Source organism: Homo sapiens, chromosome X, assembly GCF_000001405.40.
Source record: "Homo sapiens chromosome X, GRCh38.p14 Primary Assembly".
Classification (NCBI taxonomy): domain Eukaryota; kingdom Metazoa; phylum Chordata; class Mammalia; order Primates; family Hominidae; genus Homo; species Homo sapiens.
In genome coordinates this window covers 23,493,644-23,520,173 of record NC_000023.11, presented here as the reverse complement: position 1 = coordinate 23,520,173, position 26,530 = coordinate 23,493,644, and the positions used below count along the sequence as shown (strand labels likewise).

Below are 26,530 nucleotides of genomic sequence, written 5' to 3'. Positions count from 1 at the left end.
ACATTGTGCACATGTGCCCTAAAACTTAAAGTATGACAATAAAAAAAAAAACAAGCTAGTTGTCATCTCCATCAACTTTGCCTCTGTTACTTTTCTCTGCTCTTTGACCCTGCTGATTGACCAGTTTACTGTTCATTAACAGTTCTTAGAAAGGTGGGCAGAGAGGGAAAAGGTTGTTACATTTTAATCAGTCTACTTCGGTTAAGAAAACAGTTCATGTAAAATGGATTCATCAAAGTGGAGGAGAAGGACGAGATTTAAAGAAAAAACAAAATGACGGATGGGTTTTTTTGTTATATTATTTGTTGTTTCAATATTATTCATGATTCCTCAGCCCAAATGATTATGGCAAATTGAGAGCTGTATTTATTTAAAATAAGTATTTTATTTATTTTAAAATATTATTACATAGCATGATCTTAATTTTGCACATTATTTCAGATTATCTACAATGAGCCTCTATTACTTTTATAATAAGAATAAAAGATGACAACTTTGTTAAAGTGCACTTTGAAAGGTGAAGAACACATGGGTACAGTGTTTTAATATTTTCTAAGTATATGTTACTCACTACTTAAAACTTTTCATTTTATTTATTTATTTATTCATTTATTTATTTTGAGACGGAGTTTCGCTCTCGTTGCCCAGGCTGGAGTGCAGTGGCGCGATCTTGGCTCACTGCAAACTCCGCCTTCCGGGTTCAAGCCATTCTCCTGCCTCAGCCTCCTTAGTAGCTGGGATTGTAGGCATGGGCCTCCACACCCGGCTAATTTTGTATTTTCAGTAGAGACAGGATATTTCCATGCTGGTCAGTCGGGTCTTGAATTCCTGACCTCAGGTGATCTGCCTGCCTCAGCCTCCCAAAGTACTGGGAGTAGAGGCGTGAGCCACCGCACTCAGCACGACTTAAAACTTTTATAAGATTGACTAGGCAGATGGGAGGTGGAGCAAGATGGTGGAATAGAATGCTTCACTGATCATCGCCCCAACAAGGGCACCAATTTAACAATTATCTACACAGAAAAATACATCTTCAGAAAAACCAAAAAATCAGAGCGTTCATAGTACCTGGTTATAATTTCATATCACTGAAAGAGACAGTGAGGAGATAGAAAAAATTGTCCTGAATCACAATGCCCACCCCGCTTCCTTGTGGCAGCAGCGGCGTGTTGTGGAGAGTCTCTCTTGGGTGCTCGGGGAGGGAGAGCGAACATAGGCAGCAACCAGGGAGTGGTTACAGCAGGCTTTGGGTGAGACCCAGTGCTGTGCTGGCTTTAGGTCAGACCCAGTGCAGTCATAGCGGTGGTGACCACAGGGATGCTGGTCTTACTTACTTCACCCCCAGCTGTAAGTGGCTCAGAACAGAGACACAACCTCCATTTGTTTTAGAGAAAGTAAGGGAAGAGAACAAGAGTCTCATTTTCATTGATGCTGAAAAAGGACTTGATAAAATTCGACATCCCTTCATGATAAAAACCCTCAAAATACCGGGGATGGAAGAAACATGCATCAACATAATAAAAACAATATATGACAGACCCACAGCTTGTATCATCCTGAATGGCGAAAACCTGAAAGCCTTTTCTCTAAGATCTGGAATACCTCAACGATGTGCACTGTCACCACTCTTATTCAAAATAGTACTAGAAGTACTAGCTAGAGCAGATGAGAGAAACATATAAAAGGCATCCAAATTGGAAAGAAGTCAAATTATCCTTTTTTGTAGATGATATGATTTCATATTTGGAAAAACCTTAAGACTACACAAGAAAACTATTAATACTGATAAACAATTTCAGTAATGTTGCAGGATACAAAATCAACATGCAAATTCAGTAGCATTTCTGTACGCCAACATGATCAATGTGAAAAAGAAATTAAAAAGTAATCTCATTTACAATAGCCACCCATAAAATTAAATAGCTAGAAATTAACTTAACCAAAAAAGTAAAAGATCTCTATAATGAAAACTAGAAAGCATTGATGAAAGTAATTGAAGAGGACACCAAAAATGGGAAAATATTTCATATTCATGGGTTGTAAGAATCAATATTGTTAAAATGTCCATAATATCTAAAGCAATCTACAGATTCAGTGCAATCCATATCAAAATAACCATGACATTCTTCACAGAAATAGAAACAATCCTAAAATTTATATGGAATCACAAAAGACCCAGAATAGCCAAAGCTATTCTATGCAAAAAGAACAAAACTGGAGGAATCACATTACCTGACTTCAAATTATGCTACAGAGTTACAGTAACCAAAACAGCATAGTGCTGATATAAAAACAGACACATTGAATAGAAACAGACACATGGACCAATGGAACAGAACAGAGAACACAGAAACAAATCCATGCACCTACAATGAACTCATTTTCAACAAAGGTGCCGAGAGCATACACTGAGGAAAAGACAGTCTCTTCAATAAATGGTGCTGGGAGAACTGGATATGCATATGCAAAAGAATGAAACTAGACCCCTCTCTCTCCCACCATATATAAAAATCAAATAAAAATGGATTAAAGACTTAAATCAAGACCTCAAACTATGAAGCTCCAACAAGAAAACATTGGGGAAAATCTCCAGGACATTGGTCTGGGCAAAAATTTCTTGAGTAATACCGCACAAGTCACAAAAGCTAAGTCAACCAAAGCTAAAATGGACAAATGAGATCGCATCAAGTTCAAAAGCTGCATGGCAAAGGATACAATCCACAAAGTGAACAGACAACTCACAGAATGGGACAAAATATTTGCAAACTACCCATGTGACAAGGGATTAATAGCCAGAATATATAAGCAGCTCAAACAACTCTGTAGAAAAAAAATCTAACAATCCAATCAAAACATGGGTAAAAGATTTGAATAGACATTTCTCAAAAGAAGACATACAAATGGCAAACAGGCATATGAAAAGGTGTTGAACATCATTGATCATCAGAGAAAAGCAAATCAAAACTACAAGGAGATATCATCTCACCTCAGTTAAAATAACTTTTATTTAAAAGACGGGCAATAAGAAATGCTGGCGAGGATGTGGAGAAAAGGGAACCCTTGTACGCTCTTGGTGGGAATGTAAATAAGTACACCCTCTTTGGAGAACAGTTTGGAGATTCCTCAAAAAACTAAAAATGGAGCTACCATATGACCCAGGTATCCCACTGCTGGGTATACACCCAAAAGAATGGAAATCGGTATATTGAAGAGGTATCTACATTTCTATGTTTGTTGCAGCTCTGTTCACAATAGGCAAGATTTGGAAGCAACCTGAGCATCTACCAACAGATGAATGGATAAACAATTTGTGGTACATATACATGATGGAGTACTATTCAGCTATTAAAAATGAAATTCAATCGTTTGCAACAACATGCATGGAACTGGAGATCATTATGTTAAGTGAAATAAGCCAGGCATAGAAGGACAAACATCACATATTCTCACTTTTTTGTGAGATCTAAAAATCAAAGCAATTAAACTCATGGAAATAGAGAGTAGAAGGATGGTTATTAGAGCCTGAGAAAGGTAGTGGGGGGCTGGGAGGAAATGGGGATGGTTAACAGGTACAGAAAGTAGCAAGAATGAGTAAAACCTACTATTTGATAGCACAACCAGGTGACTATAGTCAATAATAACTGAATTGTACATTTTAAGTTACTTAAAGAGTGTAATTGGATTGTTTGTACCTCAAAGCAAAAATGCTTTAGGGAATGGATACTCAATTCTTGATAATTTGCGTATTTTATATTATATTCCTGTATCAAAACGTCTCATGAAACCCATAAATATATATATATATAGCAACTACATACCCACAAAAATAAAAACAAATATTTTTTAAAATTTTGACCAGGCAGGTTCTTTTAAGAGGCTCATTATATCCTGTGGAATAGATACAAAAGAAATGCTGAAGGACCAGAGTAGTACATTAGAATCTTTGGTAACTCAGTACTGGGCTCAGAAGTGTTCTTAGAGATAAACTTTTTGGTAAATAATCCTGAGGCCTTGGAACTCCAAGGGCTTCATTTTACCTTCACACTAATCTTTGTAGGAAACAAAATTTAGGGATTTAAGGGTTCGTGTCTTTCTCTGGATGCTTATTTGGCATTTAGAGTCACAGACATTTGGAATTGCATCTCTTCCCTATCTTACTATCTTTCCCTAGAAACAGACCCTGAGGCTAAGACACGAGTACAAGTGCAGTCAGCCCTCTATATCCATGGGTTACACACACATCAGTAGATTTGACCAACTGTGGATCAAAAATATTCAGAAAAATGGGATAATTGTGTCTCTACTGAATATTTACAGATTTTTTCCCTTGTCTTTATTCCCCAAACAAGACAGTATAACTACTTACATAGCATTTGCGTTGTATTGGGTATTATACGTAATATAGAGATAATTTAAAGTATACAAGAATATGTGCATAGGTTATATGGAAAAACAACACTATTTTATATAAGGGACTTGAGCATCTGTGGATTTTGGTATCTGTGGGGAAGTCCCGAAACCAATCCCTCATGGATAGCAAGGGGCAACTGTAATTAATTTGGAAATTGATCCCAGGAAACACTGACAGGAGAGTGGGGAAGTGAATTGGGGAAGGGAGGGGAGGAAGGGGTGGGAAAAGAGGAAGGGAAGGGAGGACACAGGGAGGGGACAGGAGGAGACACGAGGGGAAAGCGGAAGGGGAAGGGGAAGGAGAAGGAGAAGGGGAAGGGAAGGGAGTGTTATCAAGCAAGTTAGCATCACGGGTAACTGGAGCATGATTCCACTAGGAATACTGAGAGCCAGCATGGAATAAGTGTTTCAGAGCTATCCCTCTCAGTCATAGGTTGAGGGCTGCTCCTGAGTGTATCAACTCCCTGCTGTTTCTAGCATGTTGTGGGTGGCAAAGTGGGCCCTGGTAGCCAGAGCAAACCCTCAGGTGGAGAGCTGTAGGTGCTGGCAGCTGGCAGTCCGCCAGCTTACAATGGTAAGGCCTGAGGTTAAATGGGCAGTCTCTGACATGCCTGCCACACTTCCTCTTTCATAGGAAATTGTAATGTTAAAGTACTTGTCTGTGTGGGAACAAAAGCAATTCCATTGTTTCCTTGCTTGGAAATGAGGGCTGGGTTATAAAACACAAAAGTATATTTTGTAACAAATGGCAATAAAGTGTACACCATTGAGCAGATGACCACTGTGGGTGAAGCTCAGTCTTACTAGGGGCATCTGAGAGATAATATAAAACATCCTTCAGAGTTATTCCATCCAAAGGGCAAGGAAGCTAGGGATTTTATCCTCCAATTCTATCATTTCTGGCTGAGAACTACTCCTGGGGTAACTAACTCCCGGCACTTCCTGTCTGCCCTCATATGAGAAAGCCCTCAGGTGGAAAGCTGCAGGTGCTGGCAGTGGGAGGCAGTAGGCATGTCCAGGAATGGTGCGAGCCAGAGGTGATAGGGTCAGGCTGGTATATGCTACATGTGGTGTGACCTGGACAGCAGTTATGAACAGTCATCCCTGTGCAGACCGAGACGGGAGGTAACCTCTTTGTCTGATATGTGGTGAGCAGCAGGGCCTAAGACCTGAGCTCTGATGACATCCATGGTTGAGCTCTCACAGAGACTGCATCAGGAGGGTAACAGAGAAGTGCAGAGCCCATGTGGAGTACCCTTTAGAAACATCTGACTTTGGGAAGGTGTGACAGAGGGATTGGAAAGTCACAACACTTTATTATGGTCTACTTTTGTGTCCTGGGCAATCCAGGTTCCCACAGAATTTTAGTGCTAGAGGGAGCACTGGGCATCAACCTCCCCCATACAGAATCCTGCTGCTGCTTCTCCATCTGCTTGCTGTGGGGGCTGTGAGTGTAGCTCCATCTATTCCGTTACTGGATGCCGAATGAGCCTGGGGCTGGGTCAGGGATTTGGGATGGTGTAAGAGCTATTAAGATTTCTCACATAGTAGAGCATCTGCAACACAATTAGACCTTTTACACTGCCAAGATTCACTCCCTCCTACATTTCTACTGCATGTTGGTGTGCTAAAAATACTTTCCCAGCCTCTTTCATATATTCTAGTCAGTATCTTCTTCATATGCTTGTTAATTGCTGCTGCAAATTGGTTCATAAACCTGTTTTGTTCATCCATCCAGGGAAATTTAGTCATCACCACCATCAACTTCCATAGTATGTTTGAATCTGAGGATCCAAGGGAAGTTGAATGTTACTGTGAAATACAGAGGCAAAAATATTGTGCAGGAACTTTGATCAAAGTTCAGTAGCTTCGCTGGCCTAGCTTTTCTGTTCAGCTAGGCTATCAATGCTGGATAAATTATTGAGCCAAACTAAAAAAAGAAAATCCTTACTTATTTCATGCTTATGTTTCCATTTATATTATGTATAATATTTTATTAGGAGAGCACAATTGTTTCCTTTAATGAGATTTACAGTTTTTCTTCCATTTCAGTATGTGATTTTATTTTGTCTATGGAAAAATGTTCTTTTCCACATTTCCCCAGAAAAATACAGGTATCATTTTTATAATGATAATTATAATGATAATTCTACAAAAATAGTATTTGATAAACTTTGCTGGGAACCTTTTTGTTTCATTCATTAATCAGTTAATTCCATCAAATATGTACATTGTGCTCCTACTAATGCCTATCAGTGTACTCAATGCTGGAGATACAACTATGAAGAAAATAGACATGGGCCACATCCTCATGGAGATATGGGATGAGAGGGCAGCTGCAACACCTGTGTAGCAAATGCAGCCCATGTAACTCCTTGAGAAATTTACATGATAGAGAAGGCAGCTGGTTGAGCTCTAAGCTCAGCTCTGTTTTGTCAGTCCTTGCTTCATTCCCTGCTCCTTTATCCCATTTCCTGTTATCCTTCCGTCTAGAAGGGATTTTTCTGGGCTACCTCTTCTTTCTCGTGGCTGGGTTCCCCTGGTGCTGATTCTTGTCACAGAGCCAGCTCTTGAAGGTTGTGGAAGGAATGTCACCTTGTTTTTTCTCTTAAATTGTCCTTATATATTTAGAAATCCAAAATGATTTACAGCAATGATTCATACCCTACAATCCTGGGACTGAATGGCTGAATCTCAGGAGCATAGGAACAAAGAATGGGTGAATCCCTCAGATTCAGACCTCTATTTGCCTTAGGCATTTGGGAATTATGCATTCAAGCAACACTCTCTTTTTCTCAAATTTTATCTGGTGTGTGAGCAGGTGGGTGAAAGCCTGGTAGGTGTCCCGGGCTCGAAAATGCTGTGAAGAATTCTAACAGCTCCTGCCTGAACCTTCTGACAGTGAAGCTGATTTGCACCTGAGCCTGCAGTTTTGTGACTGTGAGCCATATTATGTATGTGCTTATTTAATTGCCCTCTTTGCACACGGCTCCTTTCTGTACTTTTGAATTTGATCTGTTCCCTGCAGAACAGACTTGACTATTTTTAACTGGTTGGCATTCAACACACTGTTGTTTCCCTTTAAATTTGTTGGTGGGGTAAATTAATTTAGAAAAGCTGTGGAGATAAACATTTAAAGGAGGCTTGTTCAGGACATGCTAGACTCGATTCACCGTCTTTCCATGCTGCTGTTAATGCAAATAAATTGCTTTTAGTCACATTCCTGAGTTTGCCTCTCTCATGTCAGGATATTGTTCAGTATAGATGATGCAAAATGGAGAATTTTTCCATTATTTGTTCAGAGGAGTGACAGAAAGATACATGTTCACAGCAAAGAATAAGTTGAATTTAAAGAATGTATTAAGAATAAAATGGCCTGGAACTGTGATCGAGAAAAGGAAAACATTCACTAGATGGGCAGACTGTATACTCATAGTAGTATAATTAATTTACTAGTCATTCATATTATCTCTGATTGATTAATCATGAAAAGGGACTTAACAGAATAATTCAGAGTGCTCTATTTATAGGACAAAGAAAGGGGACAAATTTGCCAATTAAAGTGTTGCTTTAAATATTAGTGTTTCTTCTCAAAGATTTCTTTTTCAAGGAGGAGATGTTTGAGACCAAGAACCTAAATAAAATAAATATGAAATGGTGCTTCATGCTATCACGCTCCTGGGTGGTTGGTGTATCTGCTTCAAATTAAGGATTTGGTGTCATGGAAACAGCTTGTTCATTTGGAAAGCTGCTGCCACTCTGTGGGAAGGCAAAGGACCAGTATGTGCAAGTGTGTATGTGTTTAACATTCCCTATCAGCCCTCAGCAAAACAAATACCCATTCCTGCCAGAAAGTATAGAATTACATGGGAGGGTTAGACTTTTACTTTTGGCATCAGAGTTTTAGAACAGAGCACATCAGTCATCTGGAGAATAACGTTAGAATGAAGATTCTGATTCTATGGATTTGGAGTGAGGGCTGAGATTCTGTATTTCTTAGGAGCTCCCAGATGATGCCTATGCTGTTTGTCTAGAGATCATATTTGGAAAACCACTGCTCTAAAGTTGTTAACAATTTGGCTGAACATTAGAATCACCTTCCTCTTTGGCTAGTGTGAATTAATGTTTGGTCAACATTTTAAAAGAGTTTTAGTTTAAATCACTGCTTTTTCTGCTTTCTATGTCAATTTTAACTTTTGTCAAGAGCTAAGATACCTTGGCAAATAAAAGAAGGTAAAAACTGCACATGTTTAGTATACTGCTCTAAATTGGGCATTGCTTGTAGACTACCAAATTACACTAAAGTGTGAAGACCTGGAGGGAAAACAGTTCGCAGTCTCCTGCTCTTATGTGGAACCAAGAAGCCTTATAGGAGATTAATCTGCTAAGAGCTGTGACTCTTTGGCACCATATCCGATTGAGAGTGCCCACTGTAGTGGGTTGAATAGTGCCCTACAGAATATCACATCCACCCAGAGTTTCAGAATGTGACCTTATTTGAAACTAGAATCTTTGCAGTTGTAACTAGTTAAGATGAGGTCATACTAGATTAGTGTGGGCCCTAAATCCAATGACTGGTGTCTTCATATGGGGAGTGGACACACAGACACAGAAGGAAGAAGGCCATATACAATGAGGGCAGAGGTTTGAGTGATGGTGCTATATCTCAAGCTTTTCTAAGGATTGCAAGATACACTAGAAGCTAATAAGTGGTAAGGAAGAATTCTTCTCTGGAACCTTCATAGGAAGGCTGGTCCTACTGATCCCTTGGCTTTAGGCTTCTGGACTTTAGAACTGTAAGAGAATACATTTCTGTTGTTTCAAGCCACCAAGTTCGTAATACTTTGTCATGGTAGTCCTAAAAAACTAATATACCCACCATAACATACTGAGCTGCACTGAAATCTGGTCTCATCAAGGTTGAATAAAATATGCTTCTCTTTCCTTGGGATGGACAAATATTTTACTTCCTAAGGGAAGTGCGTAATTTTTATTCTATGAAGCCATAAATTTAAATCCCTGAATAAATTCAGGGACCATCTATTATCCTGTGATTATGAATAGCTGGTGTTTAAGTACATGCTTCCAATCACAGCTCTGAAATAATAATGAAGTAGTGGATCTTTCATTCAGTTTTCTTCAGCATCCTTAGGTTATACTTGAGGAGCTCTGTAGTAGTTGTGAAACTGATTTCCTGTGTATATTAGTCCATTCTTGCATTGCTATAAAGAAATACCTGAGACTGGGTAATTTATAAGGAAAGGAAGTTTAACGGGCTCACAGTTCTGCAGGCTATACGGGAGGCATAGTGGCTTCTGCTTCTGGGGAGGCCTCAGGAAACTTACAATCATGGCGGAAGGTAAAGGGGAAACAGGCACATCTTACATGACTGAATTAGGAGCAGAATACAATCATGCCTTCCCAGCAGTCCCCCCAAAGTCTTACCTTATTTCATCATTAACTCAAAAGTCCAAAGTCCAAAATCTCATCTGAGACAAGGCAAGTCCCTTCCACCTATGAGGCTGTAAAATCAAAAGCAAGTTAGTTACTTCCAAGATACAACGGGATTATAGGCATTGGGTAAATACTTCCATTCCAAAAGGGAGAAATTGGCCAAAAGAAAAGGGCTCCAGTCCCCATGCAAGTCTAAAACCCAGCAGGGCAGTCATTAAATCTTAAAGCTCCAAAATAAAATTCTTTGACTCCATGTCTCGCATCCAGGGCACACTGGTGTGAGGGGTGGGCTCCCAAGGTCTTGGGCAGCTCCACCTCTGTGGTTTTTCAGGCTTCAGCCTCTGCAGCTGCTCACACAGGCTGACGTTGAGTGCCTGTAGCCTTTCCAGGTGCAGGGTACAAGCTGCTGGTTGATATACCTTTCTTGGGTCTGGAGGACAATGGCCCTCTTCTCACAGCCCCGCTAGGGAATGCCCCAGTGGGGACTCTGTGTGGGGTCTCCAACCTCCCATTTCCCGTCTGCACTACCCTGGTAGATGTTCTTCATGAGGGCTGTGCCCCTGCAGCAGGCCTCTGCCTCAACATCCAGGCTTTTCCATACATCCTCTGAAATCTAGGCAGAGGCTGCCAACCCTCAACTCTTGTGCTCTATGCACCTGCAGGCTTAACACTACTTGGAAGCCTCCAAGGCTTATGGCTTACACCCTCTGGAGCAGTGCCCTGAGCTGTAGCTGGGCCCCTTTGAGCCATGGGTGGAGGTGGAGCAGCTGGGATGTAGGGAGCAGTGTCTGGAGGCTGCCTGGCACAGTGGGGCCCTGGGCCTGTTCCAGGAAACCATTCTTCCCTCTTAGGCTTCTGGGTCTGTGATGGGAGGGCCGCCTTAAAGATCTCTGAAATGCCTTCAAGGCCTTTTCCCCATTGTCTTGGCTATCAGCACTTTGCCTTCCTTTTAGTTATGCAAATTTCAGCAGCCAGCTTGAATTCCTCCCCTGAAAATGGGTTTTTCTTTTCTACCACATGGCCAGGCTGCACATTTTCCAAACTTTTATGCTCTCCTTCCCTTTTAAATATAAGTTCCAGTTTCAGGTCATTTCTTTGCTCATGCATATGAGCATAGGCTGTTAGAAGCAGACAGACTACTTCCTGAACACTTTGCTGCTTAAAAATTTCTTCTGCCAGATACCCTAAATCATCACTCTCAAGTTCAAAGTTCCACAGATCCCTAGAGCTGGGGCACAATGCCTCCAAGTTCTTTGCTAAAGAATAACAAAAGTGATCTTTACTCCAGTTCCCAATAAGTTCTTCATCTTCGTCTGAGACCTCATCAGCCTGGCCATCTCTGTCCATATCGTTATTAGCATTTTGACCACAACTATTCAATAAGTTTCTAGGAAGTTCCAAATTTTCCCTCATCTTCCTATCTTCTTCTGTGCCTCCAAACTCTTCCAATTTCTCCCCATTATCCAGTTCCAAAGCTGCTTTCACATTTTCAGGTATCTTTATATCGATGCCCCACTCCTTGGTACCAATTTTCTATATTAGTCCATTCTTGCATTGCTATAAAGAAATACCTGAGACTGGGTTATTTGTAAAGAAAAGAGGTTTAATTGGCTCATGATTCTGCAGGTTGTACAGGAAGCATAGCAGCTTCTGCTTCTGAGGAGGCCTCATGAAACTTATAATCATGGCAGGAGGCAAACGGGAAGCAGGCACATCTTACATGGCCAGAGTAGGAGCAAGAGAGGGGGAAGGTGCCACATACTTTTAAACAACCAGATCTCGTGAGAATTCATTATTGCTATGATAGCACCAAGGGGGATGGTGTTAAATCATGAGAAACTGCCCCCATGATCCACTCACCTCCAACCAGGCCCCATCTTCAGCATTGGGGATTACATTTCAACATGAGATTGGGGTGAGGACACAGATTTAAACCATATCAGTGTGATTCACCATAACTCTGTAGATGCTTATTGGATCAAGGTAAAGTGTTTGATTTCCTGGTAAAACAGTTAACTTTGTGTTAGTCCTTGGCCATAGACTGCTCATTTAACCCTGGCTAGAGTCCTTGAAAATGTTGATCAGAATTGAAATTGAGTAAAGATGTCTGGATCAAGTTCAACATTCTTACTGACAAAATATTTCAAGGACAGAGCCTTCTAAAAAGTGAGTCAATAGGTGTCTACTTCTTGTGCAAAGGACAGGATGCTGCTGCTGCTGATGTGAATGATGGTTAACGTAATAGGTATTTTTGGGTCAGCAGTTTCACCCTTCATCAGCATTAATTCATAGTTTGGAAAATGGAATTGTGTTCCAGGTTTGATCTCAATCTGTGCTAGATTTGTAGGCACAATTGAGATGGCTTTGAAATGTATTAAGTTAATTATTAATGCAGCTGCTTTGATTTTGAGGATGAAATTAATTTCATGGATTTTTATCATTGTCTCAGATATAGCTTTGGGAGTTCTGGGGAGATATTGAAAATATTGCTTTATAAATAAGTCTTAGAATCCTACGTCAAACCTGACAAATTTGATCAGGGTTTTGTGGCAATTCCTAGTCAGGTGTAAGCAACTTAACCTACAGGGTACTTGTGTCAGTGCATATTTGCTATTGTGATTTACATTCTAATAGAGGTTATGAAAAAAGATCTTGGGAGTTATTGTCTTTACGGCAAGATACCGTGCTCTCAAGAAAATAGTTTAGTAAAAGGCTTTCTGGAGTGCAATGTTAAAACAGGCCCACTCTGTACAGTAAATATTAATTGGTAAAATATCTCAGTAGAGATGGGGGCAAGGAAATGAGATTCATGCTTTTGCAGGGTTTGAATAATGATTTTATTACCCTAAGATGAAAGAAAGAAGTGGATTTGTCTTAAAGCATTTGAGATTTGAGAGAAAAATTTTAAAAATGCTGTATCATAAGGCAGCATTTCAGTTTCTCAGAGGTTAAATCAACTTTGTAGTAGGTTTAGTTAACTACAGAGGAATTTGGAGATCCCTTTATAGTTCCCGAGCATGACGATTGGGTGTTCACATGCATGTGTGAGATGTACCACCCTCGCATCTTGTTAGACGTTGGCACATTACCCGTCTGACCTGACAAAAAAATAAAGAGGAATTTGGCAGAATACTAGTTGATTACATTAAGAAGATGACTATCACTCCGGCTGCCCATTCTGTCTTATTTGGTATCATTGATTACAGGGATGGGTGCTTCCTTAAACATCTTTCCTATTTCTTATTTTCCTTCCATCAGAAAAAAGTCCCAGGAAAGTTGCAGAGAGACCCTGAGGTACTATTGTTGCAGAACTTTCTCCTTAGTTCAGCTCACACCGGGCTCTTGTCACATGACCAGGAAACATTAGGCTCGCAGACACATAGAAGGGTGAGGAAAATGGAATTTATTGGGCAAAAAGGAAGAAGGAAAAATAATGCTCAGCAAAGTGAGAGTCCTGCTAGCAGGTTTCCTTCCTCACAGATTGAATCCCAGGTCACCACCCAGGAACAGGAGAGGCCAGGCTCCTTCCCCCTGCAGATGGCACGAACTTCCTGAGACTCCACCAATCTTCCCAGTGAGCAGGTGGGCATTATTCAGAAGGAATCAGCTGGGAAAGGGCAGGCTTCATCCGGGACCAGCAGTCCAGTTTTTCAGCCTTCAGGCTGTTTTAGGCTTGAAGGTGGGGTTTCACCAGGGACTCTTGGCTGTCTCCTGTCTATCACTATGAGCGGATGGCTTTTATTTGTCCTGTTTGTTTTCTTTATTAGAAGGAAGAAAGGCTTAACATGTTAGGATACTCACAGAAGAGTATTTCAGTGCTCTACATATGCCTGCCTAGGAAGAGGATTAAAGTTAATGTTCACTTGAGTGCCCATCAAGTGCCAGGTTTGGTGCTGTAAGTGCACATCTCCCAGCGGCCCTCCAATGTATGGATTATGATTGCAACTTCATTTTTAGGATACTGAGACTCAGAGAAATGATGTAATTTGCCCAAGATCACACAGCAATTAAATCGGATTTAGTCAGTCTGACTCTAAAACCCAAGTTCTTTTCATTGCACCACATTACCTTTCAAAAAGTAAAATACATCAAGTGTTAAGTTCCATCTCCATGTTTCCCAGGCACTTTGACCTTCTGGGAGATGGTGGTTAAAAGGTCAGGCCTGGAGCCAGTTTGCCTGAGTTCAGACTTCACACCTGCTCATAGCTGTGTGGCCCTGGGAATGTTGCATGCCCTCTCTGTGCCTCATTTCTTCATCTGTGTCATAGGAGCCAGGAGAAAACTCCCCCTTGGCCCCGTGAGGGCTTGCTGAAAAATCCGCTGACAAAAGGCAGATTAATAAGAGAAAAGGCAGAGAAATGTATTCACGTGCATTGAGGGAAAATCACAGAATGATTACTCCAACCCTCTAATGGGGTACAGAGGCTTATATATCATCTTGAGGCTACAGAAAGATTGTGATCTCAGAGCACGGCCAAAATAAGTTATGGTGGAAATCAGGTTACAGTGGCAAGACAGGTTATGGGAGGGGGAGAAGAGGAGGCTTAGCTAACAAAGGGAGTTTTGTTATGTAGAAGAAACCTCACTGGTAGCAGTCCTCAGAGAGCTAGTGAATGTTTCTTTCAGGCCCTGAAAGGTGTCAGACTCTCAGTTCATCTTTTGAACAAGGGAGGGCTTCAGAGACAGCCTGGCTGCATCCATGCAGATTTTCTCTACAGATACATATCTTCCCCACAAAAGAAAGCTTTTTAGCTATTCTTGTATTTCCAGCCGTTCTGATTAGCCATATTGAAGTATGTCAAGGAAATATATTTTAGAGTGAAATATTTTGGTTTCCTTCAGTATAAAGGGTAGTAATATTAGCTTCTACCCAACAGGGTTGCGGTAAATCCAGAATGAGCAGCTAGAGCAGTGCCTGACATATGGTGGAGACCAAGTTAGTATTTATCATTGAGCTTTGTGATGACACTATTTTATCAGCGGAGGAACTAACTAATTTGCCTGGAGTGGCACAGCTAGAATGGAGAAGCGCAGCTGAAATAGAGTTTGAACCCAGCCTGATAATGTACCCAGGGTTCTTTTCATTACATCTCAAGGAAAATTAGCAGGAGTCACTGAGAATTAGGGAGGACACAATGTACTCTTCTGAGTCCCTGAAATGTTTGTGTTGGCTTCTCAGAGAGAAAAAAAACATAACAACCGTTCTCTGGGATATGAAAAATCCAATGTCCATAACCAGAGGGCTCTGATTTCCAGTTTCAGCTCAAGAAGCCAGTCATTAAGAAGGCCCTCACAGCTTCCTCACTCAGTGTTTTCCCTTAGAATCCTGACCCACTGTAGCCTGCACCCTTTTTCCCTCCCCCCAGGACTCCCCACCTCCAGGGCTGGCATGATCCCTAGAATTACTGTGGAGGTAGCAAAGAACTGATGATCAGCATGAAGTGGCTGTGATTTGGGTCTCCTTGCAGAGCTAAGCCTCACATTGGTTGCTGTAGTCCAAGCTTTGGGGAAGACGGCCATAGTACTGTGTGCTAAGCCACTTCTGCCTATTGTTTTTTTTTTTTTTTTTCTTGAGAAGGGGTCTTGCTGTGTTGCCCAGGCTGGAGTGCAGTGGCACCATATCAGCTCTCTGCAACCTCTGCCTCCTGAGTTCGAGAGATTTTTGTGCCTCAGCCTCCGAAGTAGCCGGGATTATAGATGTGCACCACCATGCCCGGCTAATTTTTGTAGTTTTAGTAGAGACGGGGAGCAAGAGTCCCAATGCACTTTGGGGTGAGATGTGTGAAGTGTCGCAAGTAGCATGAGGGAGACAGATGGGAAAACTGCTGGCGGGTTTTAACTAGGGCTGCTCTTGGCTGGCTGGGCCTGGAAAACTTACTCAGGCCAGCAGGAACTCTTAGCAGCTGCTGTTTGCCTAGAGCTGGGCTATGATTAGAATGTGTCACCACCTGCTCTACCGGTCACTGACTCACCTGGCATTGTGCCGACTGCTGGATCAGAAGGAGAAATCCTTGGTTTTCCTTGGTTACTAAGCCACAGCTGGGGACTGTGGTCGGCTTCAGAAAATTTCTGACATCCCAACTCTATTATTTTAACTTAAACAATACACAAGACAAAAAACCAGTACGAGACAGTTTCCATATACCTATTTGATTAATTTGCCAGTTACTTATTCATTATTAGTTAACAAAAGCTATAAGCATTTTTTATCTGAGGTTTCATAGCTTTCGTTTCAGATGGTAGTAATATAAAGATGAGTAAGACTTGGTACTAGCCCTTGGGGAGGGGGTCATGGTCTGACACAATACTACACTGTAACATAGGAATCCAGAATAAGAAGAACAGAAAGTCAAAAGCCCATATTATTTTGGTAGTTTATACTTCTCCAAGTTATAAAAAGAAGTCACAACTCAAGCCATATCATGACTAGTGCTTCTATACGTGTTATTTATCTCATTTGAAAACAGCTTTTTAACTGTCCTAAACTCCTCACCACTCCTCCCTCCAATTTGTAAGCTCTTTCTTCAAAACCTGACTGCAACCTCACCCTGAGATATCTTCTTAGTTATGCCCCATTTGATTCTGATTCCTACATATTTCTACACATAGGACTTTTATTCCTACTTACAGGATTCCTTGGTATTTATGGTGGGCTGTTCATTTATCCTGAATGTATTTGTATTTGGGGGTATATAAAGATGTGTATTTTCATGTAAATTTTATTGAAGTAAATTTTATTTTATAACATGTAAATTTTATTTTATAACATGCATATGGAAGAGGAAACATATTATAAGTGTGCAGCTCAATTAATTTTCACAAAGTGGACATATCCATGTAACCCGGACCCAGATTAAGAAACAGACCATTCCCGGCATCCAAGAAACTCCCCTTGTGCTCCCTTCCAGTCACTACTCCCTTGAAGGTAATCACTCACCTGACATCTAATAGCATAGATTAGTTTTGCCTGGTTTTATACTTGACATAAATGGAATCATATGGTCTTTACTCTCTTGTTTATCATTTCTTTCTGTCAACATTCACCTAATACCATCTTAACTCTACTGAAACTCAGCCTTGTTTGAGAAATTATTCATGTTATTATGTGTATTTGTAGTTTTTTCACTTCCATAATTGTATACCTTTTCGTTAAATGAATATACCACAATAACTTTTTCACTTTATTGTAGAAGGCCATTTGCGTTGTTTCCAGTTTTTGACTCTTGTGAATAATGCTGCTATTAATATTCTTGTAAATATCTTTTGAAGAACATATATGTACATTACTGTTGAGTACATACCTAGAAGAATTCCTGGGCTATAGGGTATATGTATGTTCATTCAGTTTTAGTAGACACTGACAGTTTTTCAAAGTGATTATACAAATTTACATTCCCATCAACATTTTATGATAATTGTAATTGCTGTAAATCCTTACTAACACTTAATCTTGTCTTTTTCATTTAGTTATTCGAGTGAGCATTTTGTGAATACATACACATATATGCATACATGCATATTTGTGAATATGTTAATATATATTTGAAAATCATACATGTATTTGCAAATCATATTACTGATTGCATGTCTGTGTTTCCAATGCAATTATGAGCTCTCTGAGGGCAGGGTCTATCTTTTTTAATTGTTTTGTACATTCTTATTCCATAGTACAATGCTCTATACCAAATTCATAGTCAATAGGCTGTTGCTAACTGACTATATAACCCAAAATGGTGAAGAATTAGGCTGGTGATACAGAATAAAATAAATATGGGTCATTTCTCATTGTTTTTATAGCTTTTAAATTTCAGAAGTGCTCAAGGTCCTGTAACCTTAAGAAAACTCCTCCATCGTGCATGGTGGCTCATGCCTGTAATCCCAGCACTTTGGGAGGCTGAGGCAGGAGGATCACTTGAGCCCAGGAGTTTGAGGCCAGCCTGGGCAACATGGCAAAACCCTGGCTCTACAAAAAATACAAAAATTAACCGGATGTGGTGGTGCACGTCTGTAGTGCTAGCTACTCTGAAGGCTGAGGTGGGAGGATTGCTTGAGCCCAGGAGGTAAGGAGGTCAAGGCCGCAGTGAGCTGAGATCGTGTCACTGCACTCCAGCCTGGGCAACAGAATGAGACCTTGTCTGAAAACAAACAAAAACTCCTCAACACAGTTAAGATAAACAATAATGAAAGACCTATTTGCTCTAAGGGAGAGGCAGAATACTTCTAACATGTTAAGTAGTGCTGTTTCTTGGTAGAGTTGTGAGGTCACCCATGTTTATTGATACTGTTTTCAGATTCCCTGCATCTTTTTAAAAACTGTGTTCTTCCTTTTCTCTCATGTTCTCATGTTCCTGGTGTAGGAGTCAAGAGGAACTCTTGGCCCTCTTAAGGCTTGCTAAAACATCAGTTACATGAGGCAATTGGTTAATAGGAGAAAAGGCATATAAATTTATTTAACGAGTATACACAGGAGCCTTCAGAATGAAGACCCAAAGATACAGGGGAAATTGTCTATTTTTATGTTTAGGTTCAACAAAATACGGACAGCCATGTAGAAATATGATTGGAGGAAAGGGGTATGATATAATGCTAATACACTGCTTGGGGAAACCCATCAAGGCCTGTCTGTCTAGATTTTTCTTGGCCTCTCTGAGCATCCATTCCTTCCTTCTGGGTGTGGGGCGGGACCCAATAGATCAGATGATTTTTTTATAGCCAGTTTTTATATGTAAAGGTAGAGGGGAACTTAGAGAAATATTTTTTAGGTTTTATAACTAGCTTTAGGGAGGAGTTCTGGTTTCTGTGACTTGCCTTGGGAAAGAGAGATTTTAGTTTCTATGGCTAGCCCTGGGAGAGAATGTGATTGAGAGATAGGAGGGCAGGGAAAGGTCAGAGAAAAATTTTTGCTTCTGAGACTGATTCTGAGGCCTTTATTTTTGGGTATTGTTTTCTGAAGCTCAACATCCCCCAGTATGAAACTTCCTCGAGAAGTTTCTCAATCAGAAGTTGGGTTGGTGGATTGTCTTTTAAGCCATTTGAGTAAGTCTCTAAGTCCTGATAATAGGCTGGTTCAGTTGAATAGTTAATATTTATGCTTGTATCTCATTTTAGGCATTGATGTTATAGATGGACTTTCGCCAAAGTCTGGCTTCTATATTATTTGACAATCAGATAAGAGGCATTTCCATGGAAACAAAATAAAAATAAAGATTAATGGCTAGAATAAACTGTAAACTCAGTTTTTGAGTCCAGAGGGCAGCCAGTTGAGAAGATTTTTAGATGTTGGGCTGGAAGCATCTTTAGATGAAGTGAGAGCAGATAGTGGCAATCTGATAATTTTTCTGGTTTGTAGTTTATATCAGATGTTTTAGTGAACTTTTTGAGTAGTCTATACATCAACAAACATGAAGATTGCTTTTTTTGTTGTTTAGACTAAAGGTACCTTTTAAAGTTAAGACTCGGTTAACCTTATGACTTAACCAAGGATGCATGAAGCGTCTATAAAAGGTACAAAGCAGTCCTCATAAGATCTAGAACTATCCCAAAGACGGCTTAAAGAAAGAAAAGTTGGCCAGGTGCGGTGGCTGGGATTACGCCTGTAATCCCAGCACTTTGGGAGGCCGAGGCGGGTGAATCATTTGAGGTCAGGGGTTCAAGACCATCCTGGCCAACATGGTGAAATCCCATCTCTACTAAAAATTCAAAAAAATTAGCTGGGCATGGTGGTGGGCCCCTGTAATCCCAGTTACTGGGAGGCTGAGGCAGAAGAATCGCTTGAACCCAGGAGGCGGAGGTTGCAGTGAGCCGAGATCATGCCACTGCACTCCAGCCTGGGTGATAGAACGAGACTCCGTCTCCGAAAAAAAAAAAAGAAAAAAAGAAAAGTTTTCTTAATAACAAATGAAGTATATATAATCCACATTTTTGTTTGGCCATATTTTTTAGGGTCTCGGTTTTATAGCTGACCGTGTATACATAAAGGCCCAAAAATCCAGATGTCGTCTCAAAAAGAGGAAGACAGGGACGGGCACGGTGGCTCACGCCTGTAATCCCAGCACTTTGGGAGGCCGAGGCGGGCGGATCACGAGGTCAGGAGATCGATACTATCCTGGCTAACACGGTGAAACCCCATCCACTAAAAATACAAAAATAAAATAAAATAAAAATTAGCCGGGCGCGTTGGCGGGCGCCTGTAGTCCCAACTACTTGGGAGGCGGAGGCAGGAGAATGGCATGAACCCGGGAGGCGGAGCTTGCAATGAGCCGAGATAGCGCCACTGCACTCCGGCCTGGGCGAAAGAGCGAGACTCCTTCTCAAAAAAAAAAAAAAAAAAAAAAAAAAAAAGAGGAAGACAGGAAATCAAAAGCTATCTGTACAAGGGAAAATGACTTATAACAAATGGGTACCCCCAAAACGTTAAAAGTCACACAAATATTAAATGAATCGGATTTTTTGAGCAGGAGTGAAACCCAGGCAATGGCAGTAAAAGTGTGGAATTTTGTCTATTAGAGCACAAGGCAGCATGGCTTCTGTTGTTATTCCCTCGGGGGATTTTTCATAAAGGATTTTTAACTTTGTTTTAGGTTAGCTTTTTGTTTTTGATTTTTAATTTAGTTAAGAGAATTTTTAAGGCTAGTCATGATACTATTATGTATCTTTTTAAAAAACTGACCTTGTCATAAATACAAGTTAATTGTTTAGAATGAGAGATCTCTAAATTTTTTTTAATTAAGAATTTTAGTCAAATTTAAAGGATTTCTCTTTTGGCCATTGACAACTAGAATTTTTAATGGTGTAGTTTGTTTTAATAGCAACTCTATTTAAAAGTCTCTTATGTAAAGTTTGGGATGTCATTTTAAGGCATAGAAGGAATAATTTTAAAGTTCTCTCTCAAAATAATGTACTCTCAGGAATAGGCTGAGATAGCAAATGACTCTTGTCACAGACAGTTAAGGGTGGTGTTTGCCTCTGATAACCCACAGATTTGTGTGGGGGGACTGCCAGTCACAGGTCCCTTAATCTGTGACACTGGGTAGGCCCTCCTGGGATTGGACTTTTTTAGTATTAACTAGGCAATAAGGGTTGAGAAGACAAAAGCTCCTTATGGATGGGACATTGTATGACAAACCCTCCTGAGGGCTTGGCACATTTGGAACAAAAAAAATCTTGTGTTCCCAGCCATTTTTAGACTGGTCACCTGATGTCACCCAAAAATCATGGCCCCATATGGTGAAGATCAAGAGAGTTCCCCCACTTGATCGCAAGTCAAATTCTCAAGGACATAAAACTAGAGAAGAAGGAACTTTATCTGGTACCCCTCTTTATGACAGAACAATACAGAAAGAAAAAGACAAAGGAAAAGACTATTTCTGGGAGGAAATGGATTAAACAATATGAATATTTATAACCAGAAAGTATCAAAAAGTACACCAGAGACTAGGCACTGGAACCCCAAGACTAGTCATAATGATTTTTTCCCATTAATTAAAATCTCACAGGAGACGAACAGTGATTTATATCATCTGTTCAACCAGATTGCACAGAGAAAGAGGTTGAGAGCCTGACTGGGAAGAGATTTTTACCCTATTACCAGCTGATCAAGTTCTGGATTTTTTTTACGGTGGCTTTCGGAAGAGCAGAGCAGCTTTGGTGACCCTGCACATAGCACCAAAACTGTGGGAGCTAAAGTCATTGCCCTCCTAAAAGTTCACTGAAAAATCACTGACATGAGGCAGATTAATAGGAGAAAAGGCATATAAATTTATGTAACATGTATATGTGGCAGCCTTCAGAATGAAGACCCAAAGGTAAAGGTAAAATTGCCCATTTTTCAGTTCAACAAGGTATGGACAGCCATGTCCAAATATGATTGGAGGGAAAGAGTATGACCTAATGATAAAAGATTGAATGGGGGAACCCATCAAGGTTTGTCTGTCTCGATTTTTCTTGATCTCTCAGGGCACGCATTCCTTCCTAAGGTAGTTCAGATAATTGTTAATAGCTAGTTTTTATATAAAGAGGAAAAGGAAAAATTAGAGTAATATTTTTAGGTTTATGACTAGCTTTGGAAAAAAGGGGTTCTGATTTCTGTAACTTGCCTTGGGTAAGAGAGATATTAGTTTCAATGGCTAGCCCTGGAGGCAAATAAGACTGAGAGACAGATGGGCAGGAAAAGGTCAGAGAAAAGCTTTTGCTTCTGAGACTGCTTCTGGGGCTTTCATTTTGAGGTATTGTTTTCTGAGTCCCAACACTGGTGAAAATTGTTTGGTTTAGGCTTTCAAACCTCAGGTCCAAACCTACTCTAATAAGAGTCTGGTATTATTTAGTAATATGCTTCAAAGGTTTGTATAGTCTCATACTGTCACAGAATGCTAATGTTGGATATATACCTTGAAATTTATCTAACTTCACGATTGTTGTCCTAAGCTCCACAAATGACCTTAAGAAGATATATCAACCCTTTAAAAATGAATGCAAAATTTCCTCAATACAACTTATCCAACTAGTAGCAGAGCCTAGGCCAGAACCTAGATCTCATTTCTGGATCATTGCTCTTTTTATAAAGTATATTTGGTATTTACTTAGGCCTAGACAAGAGCCTTTTTATTTTCCTAGGTCTATTCCTTAGACTGTTAGAGGTTTTCCATCTCTTTTCAGGCCTCTGGTCTGAATGACATTTTTGTGTTCATGGCTTTTCTTGGCAGGGACCATGGATACATTAAATGCTGCCACCCATCTTGGCTTAGATGAGTCCCTTCCCTCATCATGGAGACGCAATCATACCAAAAGACAACACTGAGAGGAATGAGGGGGAAAGTCCTTTCAGTGATCTGCAAATTATGTCAAAGCTTGTCATCTACTGGCCATTTTGCAAAAATGAACTTAGTATTAAACATAATGTATGATGGAAATGTAAATTTCCAAAATATGACATCTTCAACTGATAAAGACTGAAAAGTGAAGAGTGGGTTCCAAAGTGCTCCTTGAGTTTGTTTAATTAGCATCTTCCTGCTTGTGGAGATATGACAGTTAGGAATAGGATCCATGACCAGGTTTGAAATGTCTAGTTTCTCTTCACTAAGGAAAGTAATAATTTAAACAGATTAACAAAGTACTGATTTGATTTATTTAGAAAAGAGCATACTTTTTATTTAATTTTGAAATTAATTTTAAGGTTTATTTAATTTATGCAATAGTCCCTCTTTCAAGGTTGAAACCATTGTTTATTTATACCCCCAACTGAGTTTACTTTCTCTAAAGAGGTTAAAAAAGGTGTGTTTTATGAGGACAGGTCTCAAACTGGAAACATTTTACATTCTCTTTTTACAAGATTAATTTTTTTACAAGATTAAGAGATTTGTTGATGTTTTCACTGAGGGACCACATTTTCCTAGCAGTTGGTAGGAAATGAAAACTATTAGCCACATTGAATTTGGTTAGAATTTTATGAGAGCATTTTAGGAATGATGAGTTAATTGGGGGCTAGGAAGGAGGGAGGAATAGAGGGCAGCAACATCTTTTTTTTTTTCCCTCAACTTTGGGACCAAGTGCACTGACTTTCTTTTTTCTTCTTTATCTTCCACTCCTTCTGCTGGTCCTCTTGAGACATTTTTGCCTCAACTTCATCATGGGTGTCTATCTAGTATTTCTCTAATGTTTCCTTTCTTTATCTAAAGCTTTATATACATGGTGAAGGGATTAGATGACACTGAAACTGAAGGGGAAACAAATGTAGAAAATGTCTAGAGAGTGATCTATTACAGATTAATTCTGAAGTAACCATTCCCTCAAGTCTTCTCTGATGTGAATAGTGAATAAAAACAAGTCTGGTTACACATAGTTTTATGTACCTTTCATATAACTTTCAATTTTATGTTAAAAATGTAGCTCTGGCCTTTTTAATTTTTTTTTTTTTTTTTTTTTTTTTTTGCTATTTCCCCCTAAACAGTTGTGTCAAAGTGTTTTTATTAGAATGACTACATGATGTTAAATTAAATATTTTTTCATTTTGAAATAATTTCAGACTTAGCAAAAGTTACAAAAATAATACAAAGAATTCCATTATATCCTTCACTCAGCTTCCACAAATGTTATCACTTCACATAACCACAAGAAATTTATAGTTCTGAAGCTAAATACAGCATCTAGTATATTTCCTTTCCTGGTCTCAAGTGTTTACCGAAGTGGTCAGAGGGAGTGAGACAAACTGAGCCATAGGTTATCTGGACTTGGAGGGTAAATTTATGGCAGATAGATTAGAACTTTTTTTTTCTTTTTTTTTTTTTTGAGACGGAGTTTCGCTCTTGTTGCCCAGGCTGGAGTGCAATGGCGCCATCTCGGCTCACTGCAACCTCCACCCCCTGGGTTCAAGCGATTTTTCTGCCTCAGCCTCCCGAGTAGCTGGGATTACAGGCATGCACCACCATGCCTGGCTAATTGTGTATTTTTAGTAGAGACGAGGTTTCTCCATGTTGGTCAGGCTGGTCTCGAACTCCCGACCTCAGGTGATCCCCCCACCTTGGCCTCCCAAAGTGCTGGGATTACAGGCGTGAGCCACCGCACCCAGCCGAGATAGATTAGACCTTTAAGACAAAAGTGGCCTGAGGACAAATGACTTAAATATGAGTTTTCCCTACTTGTAGAAGTTAAAGGAATATCCAGATGGTAACATTTTGTTTTTAAATACAGTAATTTAAAATGTAATGCAATATTTTAAATTGAGGAGCATAGCTAAATTTTTTATATCACCAGTAATGATTCTGAAAGGGTTATTTACCCTCTATTAATCCCAAGGCAAATAAATAGCATATCCCATTATTCTGGGATGATATGGGCTTGTAGTTCAGAGTAGAGGTTCTGGATTCAGATTTTCTGGGTTTGAATGCCCACTCTGTAAATGTTCTTTAACAGAAAAAAGTTTAGGGGTTTTGTGGAGCAGGCAATTGTCATAAATAGAGCTTTATAGAATCTTAGGGATTTGATCACTGAATATATCTTTATATGTTTCTTGCCCAATTCAGAAAAAAATCAAACAAAAAACTATGATCTTAGGTTGTTTTATTTGGGTCCTTCAGGCTGTGAACTCTTAAGATTTTTAGTGTTCATTGGGTACAGCTATAACTATTGCTTGATTGTTCTTTATGGTATTGAGAGAAGAGAGACAGACCCTCTCATGTTGTTTTATATTGTTTTATACTCAGAAAAGGAAAGAGAAGCAAAACTAAAAGGCAGGTAGTCTGGCGCCTGGGAACCAGACCCGAAACCAAGGAACCAGGCCCGAAACCAGGCCTGGGCCTGCCTGACCTGAGCCTGGTAGTTAAAATTTGACCCCTGACCTAGCAACTGATTTTATCTATAGATTGTAGAAAGACATTGTGAAACTTCCCGGTCTGTTCTGTTTCACTCTGACCACCGGTGCATGCAGCCCCTGTCATGTACTCGCTGCTTGCTCAATGGATCACGACCCTCTCACGTGGACCCCCTTAGAGTTGTTAGCCCTTAAAAGGGACGGGAATTGCTCACTCGAAGATCTCAGCTCTTGATAGAGGAGTCTTGCCGATGCTCCCGGCCAAATAAACCTCTTCCTTCTTTAACTCGATATCTGAGGAGTTTTGTCTGCGGCTTGTCCTGCTACAGTATATATTGTAGTTAGTATAATAAAACTGGAATAGTGCTGAATGTCAGATGAGGGAGGCATTAACCCCACAGAACTACATAGAACATGTTTTCCAACAGAAGGTGGTTATGACTGGAAGAAGCTATGGAAGAAGCATGTTAGGAAGGCAAAAATTATAGCTACCACAGTTTCCTACAGGTATATCCAAGTAGAATGATAAGCTGGAGGGGACCTTCAAGATCTAGACTGAAACCACTTTTGCAAAAATAATAACAGTGAGAAAGTTATGATAGTTCATAGGTCTGATCTAACCAATTCCATCCTGCTTCTAACCTTCAAGCTGCCCTTGTTCATTCCTGGGCACAGGCCAAACTAACTTTGAGAGGAATGTAGTTTATAGTTTAACTTTGATGATAACAGCCCTTTCGCAAAACAAACTCCCTTCTTGCCTGGGGACCAGATTGCCTTTGTAAGACTAACAAATTAGCCACAAGATTTGCAACTTCCCCAATTACTCCTGCAGATAATATCACTATTGTAGAACCTAAGACTGGCCTTTTGAGATATCTTTTCAGGTTTTTCCATTTCTGACCACCGATGGCTCCACCTGGGCCTGCCAGCTGTTCCTGTGGCCCCCATCCAGGAACTGACTCAGCTCAAGAGGACTTCCTGTGATATAATCTCTGACCCAACCAGTCAGAACTCACCACTCCCTTGCCCCCTACCGTCAAACTATGCTTGAAAAACCCTAGTATCTGAGATTAGGAAACTGATTTGAGTAATAATAAAACTCTGGTCTCCCATTCAGTCGGCTCTGCATGAATTAAATTCTTTCTCTATTGCAATTCCTGTGTCTTGATAAATCAGCTCTATTTGGGCAGTGGGCAAAATGAATCCACTGGACAGTTACAAAACCAGTGGGTCACCACCCTGGCTGCAGCTTAGAATCACCTGAGGAGCATTAAGGATGGTCCTTGCTTCAGATGTATCCCAGGGATTTTTGAATGGGGTAGGGCCCAGGCATTAGAAGTTTTAAAAAGATCTCCAGGAATT

General features: G+C 40.1%; 1 non-coding gene across 1 annotated transcript, besides 5 other annotated features; it reads left to right on the top strand.

Annotated features, from left to right (window-relative positions):
• Positions 10,306 to 10,816: an enhancer, noted in NCBI's record as "OCT4-NANOG-H3K27ac-H3K4me1 hESC enhancer chrX:23527475-23527985 (GRCh37/hg19 assembly coordinates)". NCBI's record gives its function as "activates a minimal SCP1, AML or CMV promoter by ChIP-STARR-seq in naive and primed H9 embryonic stem cells {active_cell/tissue: H9 hESC(naive and primed)}" and the evidence as "EXISTENCE:reporter gene assay evidence [ECO:0000049][PMID:30033119]".
• Positions 10,306 to 10,882: a biological region, named in NCBI's record as "Sharpr-MPRA regulatory region 9198".
• Positions 10,588 to 10,882: a silencer, noted in NCBI's record as "tiled region #9198; K562 Repressive non-DNase unmatched - State 24:Quies". NCBI's record gives its function as "represses a minimal TATA promoter and a strong SV40 promoter by Sharpr-MPRA in K562 cells {active_cell/tissue: K562}" and the evidence as "EXISTENCE:reporter gene assay evidence [ECO:0000049][PMID:27701403]".
• Positions 11,328 to 11,839: an enhancer, noted in NCBI's record as "H3K27ac hESC enhancer chrX:23526452-23526963 (GRCh37/hg19 assembly coordinates)". NCBI's record gives its function as "activates a minimal SCP1, AML or CMV promoter by ChIP-STARR-seq in primed H9 embryonic stem cells {active_cell/tissue: H9 hESC(primed)}" and the evidence as "EXISTENCE:reporter gene assay evidence [ECO:0000049][PMID:30033119]".
• LOC124905276 (small nucleolar RNA U13) lies at positions 12,861 to 12,963 on the top strand. The gene has a single exon (XR_007068439.1). It is a non-coding gene; the product is annotated as a small nucleolar RNA U13 (small nucleolar RNA).
• Positions 14,184 to 14,723: an enhancer, noted in NCBI's record as "NANOG-H3K27ac hESC enhancer chrX:23523568-23524107 (GRCh37/hg19 assembly coordinates)". NCBI's record gives its function as "activates a minimal SCP1, AML or CMV promoter by ChIP-STARR-seq in naive H9 embryonic stem cells {active_cell/tissue: H9 hESC(naive)}" and the evidence as "EXISTENCE:reporter gene assay evidence [ECO:0000049][PMID:30033119]".